At 35.4% G+C, this 17,698-nt stretch overlaps 1 protein-coding gene across 13 annotated transcripts in view; it reads left to right on the forward strand.

Moving 5' to 3' along the window:
• MIPOL1 (mirror-image polydactyly 1) overlaps positions 1–17,698 on the forward strand; it is a 354,425-nt gene that overhangs the window by 303,033 nt on the left and 33,694 nt on the right. The window lies entirely within an intron of this gene.

Consider the following 17,698-nt stretch of genomic DNA (forward strand, 5'->3'; position numbering starts at 1 on the left):
TGTGAAGCAGTGCTCACATCAAGGTTTCTTACTTCCCACTACTTCTTATTTGAAAATGTCATCTTGACCATTTCCTCAATATCCCTGAAGTTATATTTTGATTAATAGCCAAAGTTATGTAAGTCAGTAGTTTTAAATTAGACCATTTTAAAACAGTTTAGAAATTGTGCATTTTAATCTTTACTAGCCATGTACCTTGAAACTTTTGATTTATGTAGGTATTATATATATTTGTAAGTTTAAAGATGGGGTTTATATTCAGTCAGAAACTATATGCAGTTATTCACAATGTACGTTAATATTCTAAGAACACTATGATGTATAGGTAGATCTCATTTCATTATAAATCACAATCAGTAACTTTTGACAGGATCTGATTTGGCTCTGTTTGCTTAAAGTCTACAAATACATACAAATTTCAAATTTTTCTTTATATATAATCCATTAATTTCTATACATGACCAAAATTCCCTAAAACAGTGGTTCCCACAGACCAATTCTATTTTCAAAAAATCTTCGGATGTGTTATCAACCTTTTATTTTTTAGATCTCATCAACTATCATCATCATTTCATTTAAAAAAACAATTTTTATACACCAAGAAGTAGAAATAATATCATCTCAGATAATGTTTTAAATTAAATAACTTTACTGAATGGCCAAGATAACCAAATAGGAACAGCTCTAGTCTGCAGCTCCCAGTGTTGATCGACACAGAAGATGGGTGATTTCTGTATTTCCACCTGAGATACCTGGTTCATCTCGTTGGGACTGGTTGGACAGTGCATGCAGCCCACCGAGGGTGAGCCAAAGCAGGGCAGGGTGTCACCTCACCTGGGAAGCACAAGGTGTCGGGGGATTTCTTTTTCCTAGCCAAGGGAAGCCGTGACAGACTGTACCTGGAAAATCGGTACACTCCCACCCAAATACTGTGCTTTTCCCACAGTCTTACCAACCTGCAGACCAGGAGATTCTCTCTCATGCCTGGCTTGGTGGGTCCCACGCCCATGGAGCATGGCTCACTGCTAGCATGGCAGTCTGAGATCCACCTGTGAGGCTGCAGCCTGGCAGGGGGAGGGGCGTCTGCCATTGCTGAGGCTTGAAGGTAAACAGAGTGGCTGGGCAGCTCAAACTGGGTGGAGCCCACCGCAGCTCAGCAAGGCCTACTGCCTCTATGGACTCCATCTCTGAGGGCAGGACATAGCTGAACAAAAGGCAGCAGACAACTTCTGCAGACTTAAACGTCCCTGTCTGACAGCTCTGAAGAGGGAAGTGGTTATCTCAGCATGGCATTTGAGCTCTGAGAAGGGACAGACTGCCTCCTCAAGTGGGTCCCTGACACCCCTGTAGTCTAACTGGGAGACACCTCCCAGTAGGGGCCGACAGACACCTCATACAAGCGAGTGCCCCTCTAGGACGAAGCTTCCAGAGGAAGGATCAGGCAGCAATATTTGCTCTTCTGCAATATGTGCAGTTCTACAGCCTCTGCTGGTGATACCCAGGCAAACAGGGTTTGGGTGGACCTCCAGCAAACTCCAACAGACCTGCAGCTGAGGGACCAGAGTGTTAGAATAAAAACTAACAAACAGAAAGGAATAGCATCAACATCAGCAAAAAGCACATCCACACCAAAACCTCATCTGTAGGTCACCAACATCAAAGACCAAAGGTAGATAAAACCATGAAGATGGGAAGAAACCAGAGCAGAAAATCTGAAAATTCTAAAAACCAGAGCACCTCTTCTGTGCCAAAGGCTCACAGCTCCTCACCAGCAATGGAACAAAGCTAGATGCAGAATGACTTTGATGAGTTGGCAGAAGTAGGCTTCAGAAGGTCGGTAATAACAAAATTCTCTGAGCTAAAGGAGCATGTTCAAACCCATTACAAGGAAGCTAAAAACCTTGAAAAAAGGTTACATGAATGGCTAACTAGAATAAACAGTGTAGAGAAGACCTTAAATGACCTGATGGAGATGAAAACCATGGCAGGAGAACTTCATGATGCATGCACAAGCTTCAATAGGCGATGCAATCAAGTGCAAGAAAGGATATCAGTGATTGAAGATCAAATTAATGAAATAAAGTGAGAAGGCAAGATTAGAGAAAAGTAAAAAGAAACAAACAAAGCCTCCAAGAAATATGGGATTACGTGAAAAGACCAAATCTTGATTGGTGTACCTGAAAGTGACGGGGAGAATGAAACCAAGTTGGAGAACACTCTTCAGGATATTATCCAGGAGAAATTCCCCCACCTAGCAAGGCAGGCCAACATTCAAATTCAGGAAATATACAGAACATCACAAAGATACTCCTTGAGAAGAGCAAACCCATGAAACATAATTGTCAAATTCACCAAGGTTGAAATGAAGGAAAAAATGTTAAGGGTAGCCAGGAAGGTCGGGTTACCCAGAAAGGGAAGCTGACTAACAGTGGATTTCTCGGCAGAAACCCTACAAGCCAGAAGAGAGTAGGGGCCAATATTCAACATTCTTAAAGAAAAGAATTTTCAACCCAGAATTTCATATCCAGCCAAACTAAGCTCCATAAGTGAAGGAGAAATAAAATCCTTTACAGACAAGCAAATGTTGAGAGATTTTGTCACCACCAGGCCTGCCTTACAAGAGCTCCTGAAGGAAGCACTAAACATGGAAAGGAACAATTGGAACAAGCCACTGCAAAAAACATGCCAAATTGTAAAGACCATCGATGCTAGGAAAAAACTGCATCAATTTACGGGCAAAATAACCAGCTAACATCATAACGACAGGTTCAAATTCACTCATAACAATATTAACCTTAAATGGAAATGGGCTAAATGCCCCAATTAAAAGACACAGACTGGCAAATTGGATAAAGAGTCAAGACCCATCAGTGTGCTGTATTCAGAAGACCCATCTTACATGCAGAGGCACAAATAGGCTTAAAATATAGGGATGGAGGAAGATCTACCAAGCAAATGGAAAACAAAAAAAGCAGGGTTTGCAGTCCTAGTCTCTGATAAAACAGACTTTAAACCAACAAAGATCAAAAGAGACAAAGAAGGCCATTACATAATGGTAAAGGGATCACTTCAACAAGAAGAGCTAACTATCCTAAATATATATGCACCCAATACAGGAGCACCCAGATTCATAAAACAAGTCCATGGAGACCTACAAAGAGACTTAGACTCCCACACAGTGATAATGGGAGACTTTAACACCCCACTGTCAATATTAGACAGATCAACGAGAGAGGAGGTTAACAAAGATATCCAGGACTTGAACTCAGCTCGGCACCAAGCAGACCTAATAGACATCTACAGAACTCTCCACCCCAAATCAACAGAATATACTTTCTTCTCAGCACCACATCACACTTATTCTAAAACTGACCACATAATTGGAAGTAAAGCACTCCTCAGCAAATGTAAAAGAATAGAAATCACAAAAAACTGTCTCTCAGACCACAGTGCAATCAAATTAGAACTCAGGATTAAGAAACTCACTCAAAACTGAACAACTACGTGGAAACTGAACAATCAGCTCCTGAATGACTACTGGGTAAATAACGAAATGAAGGCAGAAATAAAGATGTTCTTTGAAACCAATGAGAACAAAGACACAACATACCAGAATCTCTGGGACACAATTAAAGCAGTGTTAAGAGGGAAATTTATAGCACTAAATGCCCACAAGAGAAAGCAAGAAAGATCTAAAATTGACACCCTACCATCACAATTAAAAGAACTGAGAAGCAAGAGCAAACAAATTCAAAAGCTAGCACAAGGTAAGAAATAACTAAGATCAGAGCAGAACTGAAGAAGATGGAGACGCAAAAAACCCTTCAAAAAATCAATGAATCCAGGAGCTGGTTTTTTGAAAAGATCAACAAAATTGATAGACTGCTAGCCAGACTAATAAAGAAGAGAGAGAAGAATCAAATAGACACAATAAAAAATGACAAAGGGGATATCACCACCAATCCCACAGAAATACAAACTACCATCAGATAATACTATAAACACCTCTACACAAATAAACTAGAAAATCTAGAAGAAATGGATAAATTCCTGGACACATACACCCTCCCAAGACTAACCCAGGAGGAAGTTGATCCTCTAAATAGACCAATAACAGGCTCTGAAATTGAGGCAATAATTAATAGCCTACCACCAAAAAAAGTCCAGAACCAGACAGATTCACAGCTGAATTCTACCAAAGGTACAAAGAGGAGCTGGTACCATCCCTTCTGAAACTATTCCAGTCAATAGAAAAAGGAGGAATCCTCCCTAACTCATTTCATGAGGCCAGCATCATCCTAATACCAAAGCCTGTCAGAGACACAACAACAAAAAAGATAATTTTAGACCAATATCCCTGGTGAACATCGCTGTGAAAATCCTCAATAAAATACTGGCAACCCAAATCCAGCAGCACATCAAAAAGCTTATCCACCATGATCAAGTCAGCTTCATCCCTGGGATGCAAGCCTGGTTCAACATATGCACATCAATAAACGTAATCCATCACATAAAAAGAACCAATGACAAAAACCACATGATTATCTCATTAGATGCAGAAAAGGCCTTTGACAAAATTCAACAGCCTTTATGCTAAAAACTTTATGCAATAAACTGGATATTGATGGAACATATCTCAAAGTAATAAGAGCTATTTATGACAAACCCACAGCCAATATCATACTGAATGGGCAAAAACTGGAAGCATTCCCTTTGAAGACTGGCACAAGACAAGGATGTTCTCTCTCACCACTCCTATTCAACATAGTATTGGAAGTTCTGGCCAGGAATCAGGCAAGAGAAAGAAATAAAGGGTATTCAATTAAGAAAAGAGGAAGTCAAATTGTCCCTGTTTGCATATGACATGATTGTATATTTAGAAAACCCCATTGTCTCAGCCCAAAACCTCTTTAAGATGATAAGCAACTTCAGCAAAGTCTCAGGATATAAAATCAATGTGCAAAAATCACAGGCATTCCTATACACCAAAAACAGACAAACAGCCAAATCATGAGGGAATTCCCATTCACAATTGCTACAAAGAGAATAAAATACCTGTGAATCCAACTTACAAGGGATGTGAAGGACCCCTTCAAAGAGAGCTACAAACCACTGCTCAATGAAATAAATGAGGACACAGACAAATAGAAGTACATTCCATGCTCACGGATAGGAATAATCAATATCGTGAAAATGGCCATACTGCCTAAGGTAATTTATAGATTCAGTGCCATTCCCATCAAGCTACCAATAACTTTCTTCACAGAATTGGAAAAAACTACTTTAAAGTTCATATGGAACCAAAAAAGAGCCCATAGCCAAGACAATCCTAAGCAAAAACAACAAAGCTGGAGACATCATGCTACCTGACTTCAAACAATAGTGCTAGGCTACTATAACCAAAACAGCATGGTACTGGTACCAAAACAGAGGTATAGATCAATGGAACAGAACAGAGCCCTCAGAAATAACACCGCACATCTACAACCATCTGATCTTTGACAAACCTGACAAAAACAAGCAATGGGGAAAGGATTCCCTATTTAATAAATGGTGCTGGGAAAACTGGCTAGCCATATGAAGAAAACTAAAACTGGATTCCCTTACACCTTATACAAAAATTAATTCAAGATGAATTAAAAACTTAAATGTAAGACCTAAAACCATAAAAACTCTAGAAGAAAACCTAGGCAATACCATTCAGGACGTAGGCGTGGGCAAAGACTTCATGACTAAAACACCAAAAGCAATGGCAACAAAAACCAAAATTGACAAATGGGATCTAATTAAACTAAAGAGCTTCTGCACAGCAAAAGAAACTATCATCAGAGTGAACAGGCAACCTACAGAATGGGAGAAAATTTTTGCAATCTACCCATCTGACAATGGGCTAATATCCAGAATGTACATAATTTATTGGAACTTAAACAATTACAAGAAAAAAACAAACATCCCCATCAAAAAGTGGGCCAAGGATATGAATAGACCCTTCTCAAAAGAAGATATTTATGCAGTCAACAGACATATGAAAAAATGCTCATCATCACTGGTCATCAGAGAAATGCAAATCAGAGCCACAATGAGATAACCATCTCATGCCAGTTAGAATGGCGATCATTAAAAAGTCAATAAACAACAGAAGCTGGAGAGGATGTGGAGAAATAGGAACGCTTTTACACTGCTGGTGGGAGTGTAAATTAGTTCAATCATGGTGGAAGACAGTGTGACGATTCCTCAAGGATCTAGAACTAGAAATACCATTTGACCCAGCCATCCCATTACTGGATATATACCCAAAGCATTATAAATCATTTTATGATAAAGATACATGCACACATATGCTTATTGCGGCACTATTCACAATAGGAAACACTTGGAACCACCCAAGTGCCCATCAATGATAGACTGGATTAAGAAAATGTGGCACATATACACCATGGAATACTATGCAGCCATAAAAAAGAATGAGTTCATGTACTTTGCAGGGAGATCAGTGAAGCTGGAAACCATCATTCTCAGCTAACTATCACAAGGACAGAAAACCAAACACCACATGCTTTCATTTGTAGGTGTGAATCAAACTATGAGAACACTTGGACACAGGGTAGGGAACATCACACACCGGGACCTCTCAGGGACTGGGGGTCTGGGAGAGGGATAGCATTAAGATAAATACCTAATGTAAATGACGAGTTGATGGGTGCAGCAAACCAATATGGCACATGTATACCTATGTAGCAAACCTGCACATTGTGCACATGTACCCTAGAACCTAAAGTATAATAAAAATTAATAAATAAAGTAACTTTAACTCTGAAAAATTCACTGTCTCTTCCTTAGTTTTTGCATTTAACCATAGACAGATGAAAACTTTTTTATGGAATGGCACTAATCCATGGATCAGAGTTTAAGCACAACTATGTCATTAAAAGAATTAAATGTTAAATCCCTTTTTCTTCTGATTTCCAACAGTAAGAGCTAGATGAAGTATTATCGGGTTTTCCTTTTCATATTTGATCCACTGTATTTCATATTTAATTGCCATCAATTTGGCAAAATGTATCTTCATGAGGCTATTAGCCTATTTTATTGAGTTTAAGAGAAATGTTATCCTCTTAAAGGAAACCAACTTATAAGACTTCGTAAGATGGTATTCATAGTCTCCTTAAAAATCTGAAATCATTATTATTAGCAAATGTTTTAGAAAGTTCTTTGAAAATATGTCAGTATTCCAGGGAATTTAAAATTTAAACTAAAGGAATTTCTTCACAATCAAATTTTTCTTCACAACGAAATTTCTTAAATAACTGTCCCCTTTTCCCTTCACAATCAAATTTCTTGAATAACTGATCTATATTCACCATCTCTAATTTTTCAATTCCCATTTACTCCTCTGCTACTCAGTACAGTATGGCTAGTTTGTATACTGAAATTGTTCTTCTTAAGATCACCAGTAATTTTCTAACTACTAAATTCAATGGCTCATTTTAAACGATATTTTTATTGTACAATGAACATATGTTTATGGTGAAAATAAATAAAGACCTTCATGTATCTTCAGCAATATAGCATAATGGTTTAAAATCTCAAGCTTTGAATTCAGAATGTATAGGTATGTGAACCTGGATATAAAACACTATGCTAATGTGGACAATAATGCTTCTATCTCATAACGTTGCCATGATAATTTGATGAGCTAATACATGTAATGCTTTTAGAAGAATATGTGTTACGTAATTCCTCCTTCTCTTGGCATTTCACTCCACACTGTACTATCTCATTCCTCAGAAGGTCTCTGCCTTTTCAGGACTAAATGCCTTTGTGTATATTGGTTCCTCTGCTCACGTAATATTATTTTAGGATTTTTTTTAAGGTTAGCAAGCATCCAATCACAAATGCAGTCAACTTTTAGAATATTTATCCTACTTGAACTCTCATCATTTAGTACTGTTCATCATTCCTTCCTGAAGCCTTTTGTTTTCTTAGATTCTGTAGCACCATTTTTTTCTACCTTTATGACTTCCCTGACTGTTCCTACTCCATTTCTTTCGGGGATTACATCTCCCAGCTATCCGAACATAATGGTTGCTTAAAGATTTTATTTTTCTTGTACCTCTACACAATTCCCGGGAATGTCATCTATTTCCTTAAGCTTCAACTACTACTTATTAGCCAAATAACTTCCAAATACTTATCTTAGTACTCACCTGTCCCCTGAGATCCAGTCTCATGTTTCCAAAACTCTTTACTCTTCACTCCTCACTCCCCTGAAAGTAAAGTCCTGCCCATTCTCCTGTATTTCCTGCCTCCTCTGACAATTCTGAGAGTTTTATATATATATTATATGTATGCATGTGTATATATATCTATATACACACATACACACACACACAGACTCAAAGAGTGGTATGTATATATCACTCTTTGAAGTGTCAGGGGAGTCACCATAGTGTCACACAGGGTTCTTAGCATAGAGCAAACATACTTCCCCCAAACTCAGCTGCTTAATCTGTTTGCAGGATGAATTATAGAACAGGATAGATGACTCTGGGTGCTGGCAAGAGGAACAGAGCACGTTTCTACAGTTTCTCAATTTTAGAAAAAGCCTATATATATGTACATATATAGTACAGATACATATATACATACACATTATAGTTTATATATGTATATACACATATATTGTTTATATATGTGCATGTACATATGTATATATACTTATAGGTGATATATATGTATGTTTATGTACGTTTATACACATGTGTATCACATGCACATGTGATACACATACATGTATGTTTGTGTGTATATACATGTATGTATATCTATCTACTTATGTATAAGCTATATATGTATGTGTATATACATATGTAAACTATGTATATGTACATATATGTAGGCATTTTTTAAATTAAGAAACTGTAGAAATGCTCTGTTCCTCTTCCCAGCACCCACAGTCATTGATCATGTTTTATAATTCAACCTGAAAACTATATATATATATGCATACATACGTAGTTTATAGACACACATAGTTTATATATGTATATATACACGTAGTCTATATAGTCTATTCATCTTTGTATAGTCTGTATACATATAGACTATATGTATGTGTAAATACATATATGAACCATACATATGTCTATATTATATATAAAGCTTATATATACACACATCTATAAACTACATGTATATAGACATAGACTGTATATATGTATGGTTTATATATATACACATACATATACGTGTGTGTGTATATATATAGTTTTGTTTTGGTTTTGGGGGTTTTTATGAGACAGGGTCTTGCTCTGTTGCCCAGACTGGAGTACAGTGGCACAATCATGGCTCACTGCAGCCTCAGCCTCCCCAGGAGCTGGGACTACAGGCATGCGTCACCACACCTGGCCAATATTTTTGGTGTTTTTTTTGTTTTGTTTTGTTTTTGGTAGAGATGAGGTTTTATCATGTTGCCAAGGCTGATCGCAAACTCCTGGGCTGGAGCAATCTGCCCGCCTCAGCCTCCCAAAGTACTGGGATTACAGGTGTGAGACACTGCACCAGGCATAGGTGGTATTTTTTTAATATCTATTTTCTACCTACTGCACTCTCTTCCAGATTTCCTAAGACATTGACTGTGTTCTATTCATCTTTGTTTCCCCATCTCTTCTAAAAACTCATGCAGATACCTGCTGTAAAGTAAGTACTCTGTAAATTGATGAACAAATCAACTATAACAATTTAGTAGTTTCAGAGAATAACAGATTAAAGTAAAAGCAGGTCAAGTTAGAGATACACAGGAAAATTTCAGATATACTCCCCTCTGCTTTAGGCCCATGACAAATACTTTTTCTTCCAACCCAGAGCCCAGAGTTTACTAGTTTCATAGAAAAGCATGACTTCTATGGCTGTTCCTTCCCTCCCTCCCCTCACTGCCACCACCACACCTTTCACTCTCCGAGGAGCTGGCAGTGCTTACTTCCTGTTGATCAGATTTTAACCACGCACTTCCATCAAATTTAATTACATTTAGAAGACCTGAAATCTTTGGTAATAGTAGAGACTATCTACTATTGCTATTCATAGAATTATAAATTTATTTTCTTCCAGAGTCATAAAAATTTTTAATATTTTCTGAAATATTTCAGCCTATGGGAGTATTCCTAGAAAGACAAGTTGTACAGGATTACCATCCATAAGCTAGCCAGTATAGGCATATCATCACTTATAGGGAAAAAGTCAGTGCATGCCATACCTCATCACCAAAAAATATCTTCTTGGCCCACCTGTCATAAAGCCTAATCTTTTATCAGTGGAAATTCATTCTCTTTTCTTTATGTACTTTTATTGGAAAATGTGTAGTTTGTGGATGAATAGCCCATTGTGATTTAGCTTTTAGATTGCTGGTACTGAATGTGCTTGGTTTTGGACAGAGTGGTTATGTCGAGGTAAAGGGAACTAAAGAGCAGCTAAGAGCACAGGAACTTGGTAGGAAAAACTTCTCTTAATAGTTTTGTCAAAGACTATCCCTAATCCCCATTTATTAAAGAGAAAACTGACACATCAATCCATTAAGAGATGTTTTTATTATTCATGAGAGATTTAAAACTTTGTGATTCTTTATGCTATAGTTTCGTTTCCATCTACAAGTATGCTTGCTTCTTGTGGCCTGGAACAAGTTCCAAAGGACTTTTAAAAATACATTTTGCTATACTTAGCATACCTAAGCTCCACATAGTTTCTTAAAGTAAAAGTAATTACAACCAGGCTTATAAGGTTAGAACTCTTAAAGATCTGGGTTTTACACTGAAATAACTTTTGTCATATGTCATTTTTACTGTGGGCCAGATTTACAGTGATATGATTCAAATTCCCTCATAAACTATATGAAGAGTTATATACTGTAACTATATAATGAATAGATGAGACAAAGAGATATAGAAAAATTGTAAACTTTTAAACAGATTTGTAAGAAAAGATGTATCAACTCAAGAACTTTCATGCTTTCCATAATTTTCTAAAAAGAAAAAATCCATTATTTAAAATTTACAGGAGTTCTGCTCATCTTAAATTTTTATAACTTAATTATAACATCAAAGATCAGGTTAAAACATTTCAATTGATAGGTTTTGTGAAGTTGTAGATTGTCTTTTGAAATATAGGGCACCCTATATCTTTTGAGCACTATTGACCAAACACACACACACACACACAGCTGTTTAAAGTCTTTTCTGCTATTTGACCAAATACTGATTTCTGTAAAGAAATTGGTGTTACAAAGAAATTGTGAATTCTCAGCCTGGTTTTCCTGCTGACGAGTAAGAGTCTGTAGTTCTCTTCGAAGTGTCAAGGGAGTCACCATAGTGTCACACAAGGGTTCTTAGCATAGAGCAAACATACTTCCCACAAACTCAGCTGCTTAATCTGTTTGTAGGTTGAATTATAAAACAGGATAGATGACTGTGGGTGCTGGGAAGAGGAACAGAGCATTTCTAAAGTTTCTCAGTTGAAAAAAAAAAAAAGCCTGCTATTTTCATCAATACATTTTACTAGATTTTTTACTTTTGTTGCTGGCTCCAGAATCCGATTTTATCCATAATGAAAAATAATTATGCTAAAAAATGAAAGGCCTCAGTGAATTTTTTTTTATAATTTCATTGTCTTTTCATTAAAATTATTCTAGTTCTTGTCAACTTTACCTGTGATATTTTTCCTATAAATTTTTTGTTGGACTGTAAGTGTCAAGGCAAAATTAGACATATCCAAACAATATAAGTACTTGTTGATTGAATCAAAGAATAAGTTTCATAATTCCTTAACTCAGCAGAAGGTATAAATCAATATTTTATATAATGTTGAAAGTTAACTTTGATTTATTAGTACTATTAATAAGTGGGAGGAGACCTAAAACTTCTAGAAATTGCTCCTTAAAATATTTTCTTGTATTTGAAATTTAAAAGCTGTGAAATATATGTACTTCAGCAAGTAATAAGTCGAATAGTTATTTGTAATAGTTTATCAACAAATGCCCTCCCTAATTAGCTTTGGAAGGCACCTTCTAAATCTAATTAGAGATAGCTTTATTATCATCTATATATGGAAGATGGACTCAGATGGCTCCTAAACAGTCATCATAAGATATACAACATCTAAACATGCTTAATTTTTATTCTTTGACATGTGATATGCTTTTAAAGAATTTAATATTCTGAATTTGTGAATCATAAAAGTTAAAATTATCTGATTACATATTTAACTTGTGAAATATGTCATCTCATACTCTGTTAAACAAGCATTTCATTAAAATTATCACCAATTGCATTATATGCTTGTAGAGTGGATCACCTTTCCCATCCATCTATATATAAAGTAGGTTTCTTTAGAGCTGATTTTATTATACACATAGATATACCTACAATGTTTGACAAGTACATAATTATATTCATTTATTTATAAAAACTAAAGAATTTGGGCTTATATCTTAACTATGGGGAATGTCTCATGTTGGTATGAAGAAGAAACATAGTTTTAATTATCTGGCTAACTCCTTTGTGCCAGGGAAGGATTAATGTAGGATTGTTAGGATTGGCGCCTAACCCAGAATATAAGAATTCCAATGGAGTGCAAAGTGAAGGATCCAGGCTAAAGAAGAAAAAGGGCTCTTTAAACCTAGACTCTGTATTTTCCCTAATAAGATAGATCCTTTTTGTAACTAACCTTATGGAATGAATGAAAATGAGCATAAAAGTAGGAATCAAAATTTTAGATTACAACATGGCTTTTTGCATTTAATGTACTTCTTCATTTCAGAGGCTGTCTTCCAGTGATTAGAACTAGAGTTGAGCTACTATATGTTTCTGCATACTCAGATAGATAAAACATGTTTCAGATGAACACAATAGAGAGGAATGGAAGAAAAAGAACAAAAGACTAAATATGAGATACCATACTGTTTCAGTTTAAATACAAGAGTTTTGGCTTTTGGTTTTTATTAATGCCAGTACTACAGTGATTTTAAAAGTAAAAGACCAGAATTTTTATTATTTTAGGGAAATTACAGAATCCACTTACGATGATCATGTACATTTTAACTAAAATTTGATAGGGAAAAATACCACATTTTTTATACCTTAGATTCACATACATGTGATTTTCACATATCTATTTTATATGAAATATAAGTTCCTTAGAGGGATATATGATCTAACAGGTACGCTTTTCCCTTCTTTTGTTCTTAGCTGCAGTCAAAAGCTTTCTAATTTTTTATCACTTGACAGGCTACATAGCTCCTGGGTACTTCTGTGAAGTTAGGAGTACTCAACTACCTTACCTGAGATTCATTGAAGAATTGATAAAAATAAGATGTATAAAGTGATTTGAATTCCCTAGGAAAAGGTTACTAAATGACACTAATTGTTAGTGTACTTTAAAATATGTTTATAGTAAAGGTGAAAAGGAAGGTGTAGAAGTTAGATTTTTAGAAGTTTTGGTCATTCCTGCAAAAACATTGCTCAATCTCATTAGACTTGATGTAACATATCGTTTAACTTGATACTTTATATAACTCACTCAAAACTTTCCCCTTTGTTGTCTCTATTATTAAACACACAGATTAGATATAATGTATCTACTGGTTAATATAGAAAATATACACTTTTTTTTTTTTTTGGAGACGGAGTTTCGCTCTTGTTGCCCAGGCTGGAGTACAATGGCGCGATCTTGGCTCACAGCAACCTCCGCCTCCCGAGTTCATGCGATTCTCCTGCCTCAGCCTCCCCAGCAGCTGGGATTACAGGCATGTGCTACCATGCCTGGCTAATTTTGTATTTTTAGTAGAGACGGGGTTTCTCCATGTTGGTCAGGTATACTCATCTAAAATCTTATTTCACAGTTGTGCAGCTATCCTAAATAGACACGTAGGTATACTAGGTACAGCTTTTATTCCCAAAATATAATTGGGAGAAACTCAATTGAACCCAAGAGCATGTAGAAATACAAATTTCACTTGGATTCTAAGATTCCGTAATTGGTTATTTATCCCTACTGGGTCAGGGATTTGCCGATGTCCATATTTGCCCATTGGTAAATTTACAGAATGAAGAATCCTTTGCTTGTTTCAGTGTAACTTTGTCTGATGGAGAAATCATAAACATTGTCCATAGATTAACTTTATTCTTGATCATTTACATTTAAGGAGAAAAAACTTTCCATAACAATATTGAATATAATTACAGCTGAAGCATATCTTCTTTCTTCCTTCAGTGTTATACATTCTTGAACAACTCAACAGAGGCACTTTTCACTTCTTAACCTAAATATAATGAAAAAAAAAAAAAGCTATACTATTGTAGACTACTTTAGCAGGTCTTTCTATAGGAAGACTGACCAAAAGTGACAAAAAAAAAGATTCTACAAATTCCATGTAAATGATATTTTGGAACCTACTAAACTAATTTTAATTTTTTTAGTTGCTTTGGCATTTATACAATACAAACTAATAGTTCTTGGAACGTCATCATCTTTTTAGTTTTTCGTTTGCCTCATACAACAGTATACTGTGTATATGTAAAAGCATATGTTATATCTCTTTCTGTTACCATGTGCCATATAACAAGCTATATAATGGTAAAAATAACATAAAACATTTTTAGTATCTTGAAAAATCTTTCTTAAGTTAAACTAATCTGCCTTCTTAGCTAAGTTATGTGTATTTCACATAACGTCCAAGAAGTTCTCTAGTACCGACTCTCAGAGGGCCTAAATCTTTCCCAGAATGATGGGAGTAGCACAGTTCAAGAACAAGAATGAATCTCTGTATAATCACACCACAATGTGAGGTGACCCTAAGACAGAGAACTGATCAGATACACATATGGGTTTTAGGAAGACTTTCTGATGCTCTTTTTTAACACAGCTGTGAGAAGAATGTGGCTAAGACCCAGTAGTCATTCTTGAGGAGAGCTGGTAAAGGAAACCATGAGGAGAAGAGAATTTAACACATGGGTGTAAGAGAGTCCGGCTTCATTGATGCGATCTGAGGGGAATGCCTAATGACTGGAAGAATCAAACTTGGCAATGAAAACACAAAGCTCTTTTCATCAATTCAAACGCAGACTCTAAAGCTGCAGATGGTCACCTCCAGCCTTGTCTATTCAGTGTGGGGTTTTATAAAATGGCACTTTGGTGAATACTAATAGATCAAAACAAAGATTTAATAACGTAAAGATGTGGTGTTCATTTTTAAATGAGTATACAGGTCAGTGTCTCAGAAAAGGATGAAAAGAGTACCTTTTATATGTGGGTCTAAAGTCTTTTTGTTTTTTCAACCTCAAAAATAAATGGCATCTTTAACATACAGATTGTGTTTTATGGAGTACAGTTTACATTATGAAATAGAGGCCAAAATTAGAGTTTATATTTATGCTCAATAATTTCATTTCTTCTGATTTGAGGACTCTCAGTTTATATTTGTTAATGTCATTCTTTAATATTTTATTGAAGTATACTTCATAGGATAAATATATGTTGCCATTCTCAAGGATGAATCAATCTAATTAAAATTTAGTTCAAATGTTTTATTCTCAGAATAGAACTTTTTCTCTCACCTTTTCACAGAATGCAAGGAGACGTTGTTTAGTACAAAGGAAGACTTTGAACTTTAATTCAGTCCTGAAATTACATTTTGGCTACTTTTTACTTTATTTGCTATGACTTTAGAAATGTACAGCAATTGCTTATGTATTAAAAGATAATTCATTGTGTTTAATCTGTTACTTATTTTACATTACTAAGTCTTTCTTTAAATTGAAATATGCTGTATTTTTTTAGAATAAACTATATTATACTTGGTTAGCACTTTGTAGTTCATAAAATATTTAAGCTGAACCAAACAAATGAAGCTTTATTATCCAAAATAAACTTAAAATACAAGCTCAAATAACTCAATAATAGCGTTCTTGTTTCTGCCATTTATGAGGTAAATATAATGATTAGGTCTGCATTCCTAATACTTTTATCTAGAAAGTTACACTAACATATAGAAATTAAGACACTAAAATTCAAAGTTAAAGGGGAGGCAACTTAGTATCGAGTAAAAATATTAGTGAACTAACAGGACCCTCAACTGTCAGTAACTAGGTATGTACAGATCATTAAATTTGCTCTCAGTGTTCTCATCTGGAAGATATACTTGCTCTAATCTAGTTCAAAACATGGCTATAAGGATCAAATGAAATGCGTGTGCCTAAAAGTGCTTTGAAAAGTATAATGTGCTCTGTAAACATAAGTGGTTTAATACCTTCAACTTATATATTTTTAATTAAAACATTATGATCACCTGTTTGGAAACAGAAAGGGAGAAAAATTATATTGTAGCCTCAGAAACTATATAAGAACCATGTAACTTTTGAAAGGGATTCTTCACATAGGTCTTGAAACTGGAAGTAAAGAGGGTTCTGTGCATTCTCATACATTACTGGTGAGAACGTGAAATGGTAAAACCCCTATGGAGGAGAATTTGGCAATGTCTAACAATAGTACATATGCATTTGCCCTTTGACTAAGGGAGAATCACTTCTAGGACTCTATCCTGAATATAAACCTCCATGCGTATGAAGCAACATAAGAATTACAGTATTGTTTTTAATAGCAAATAAAAATAACCCAAACAGGAGAGTAGTTAAATGATGGTACGTGCACATAGTGTAATACAATGCAACTGTAAAAAAGAATAAGGACGATATCTATAAACTGATATTGAGTGATTTCCAGGACAGATTGCTAACTGAAAAAAATCAAGTGCTTCTCATATACTGCCTTTTGTGTGAGAAATAAGAATAAAAGGAACAGGAAAGATCAGCCAGAAACTAAAATGATTACCTTTGGAAGTATATGGGAAAGAGATACAGGCAAGGATGGGAGTGCAACTTTTCTGAGTATGCCCTTTTGTATAGTTTTGACTTTTGAGCCATGTAAATCTTTTACATATTTAGAAATTGAAATCAAATTAAAAAGATAAAAAGAAAGCCTTAAAAGTGACTATAAATAGAAATAAACATACCTAACTGTATAGCAAATTGATAAGATACAGAAAAGTATCTTTTGATCATCATACTTTGACTATACATCCTTAGTGGCATATATTCTAAGAACAGAAATACATGCAAAGAAATTTTAAAGTTTACTAACTATGTTAACAGTTATTAGCCCTACTGGTATTAATATTTTGAAATGATTTTATGTATATTGTTGGATTGAGCAAATAAAGAAATAAATGTTATTAGGAACCAAGATTTCCACCATAAAATAAATGGAATTAGGAAATAGAAACTGTAATGTTAAATTTGAATTAGAAATATCAAAGTAAATCTCATGATTTTATTTTATTAATTTTTTTGAGACAGAGTCTTACTCTGGAGTGCAGTGGCGGGATCTCGGCTCACCGCAACTTCCGCCTCCCGGGTTCAAGTGATTCTTCTGCCTCAGCTTTCTGAGTAGCTGGGATAACAGGCACACATCAACACACCCAGTTCATTTTTGTATTTTTAGTAGAGATGGGTTTTTGCTGTGTTGGCCAGGCTGGTCTTGAACTCCTGGCTTCAAGTGTTCCGTTTACCTTGGCCTCCAAAAATGCTGGGATTATAGGCATGAGCCACCGCAACTGGCGTGATTTTAAATATATACATATTTTTCTTAGCTC

This window comes from Homo sapiens, chromosome 14 (assembly GCF_000001405.40).
Source record: "Homo sapiens chromosome 14, GRCh38.p14 Primary Assembly".
Lineage (NCBI taxonomy): Eukaryota > Metazoa > Chordata > Mammalia > Primates > Hominidae > Homo > Homo sapiens.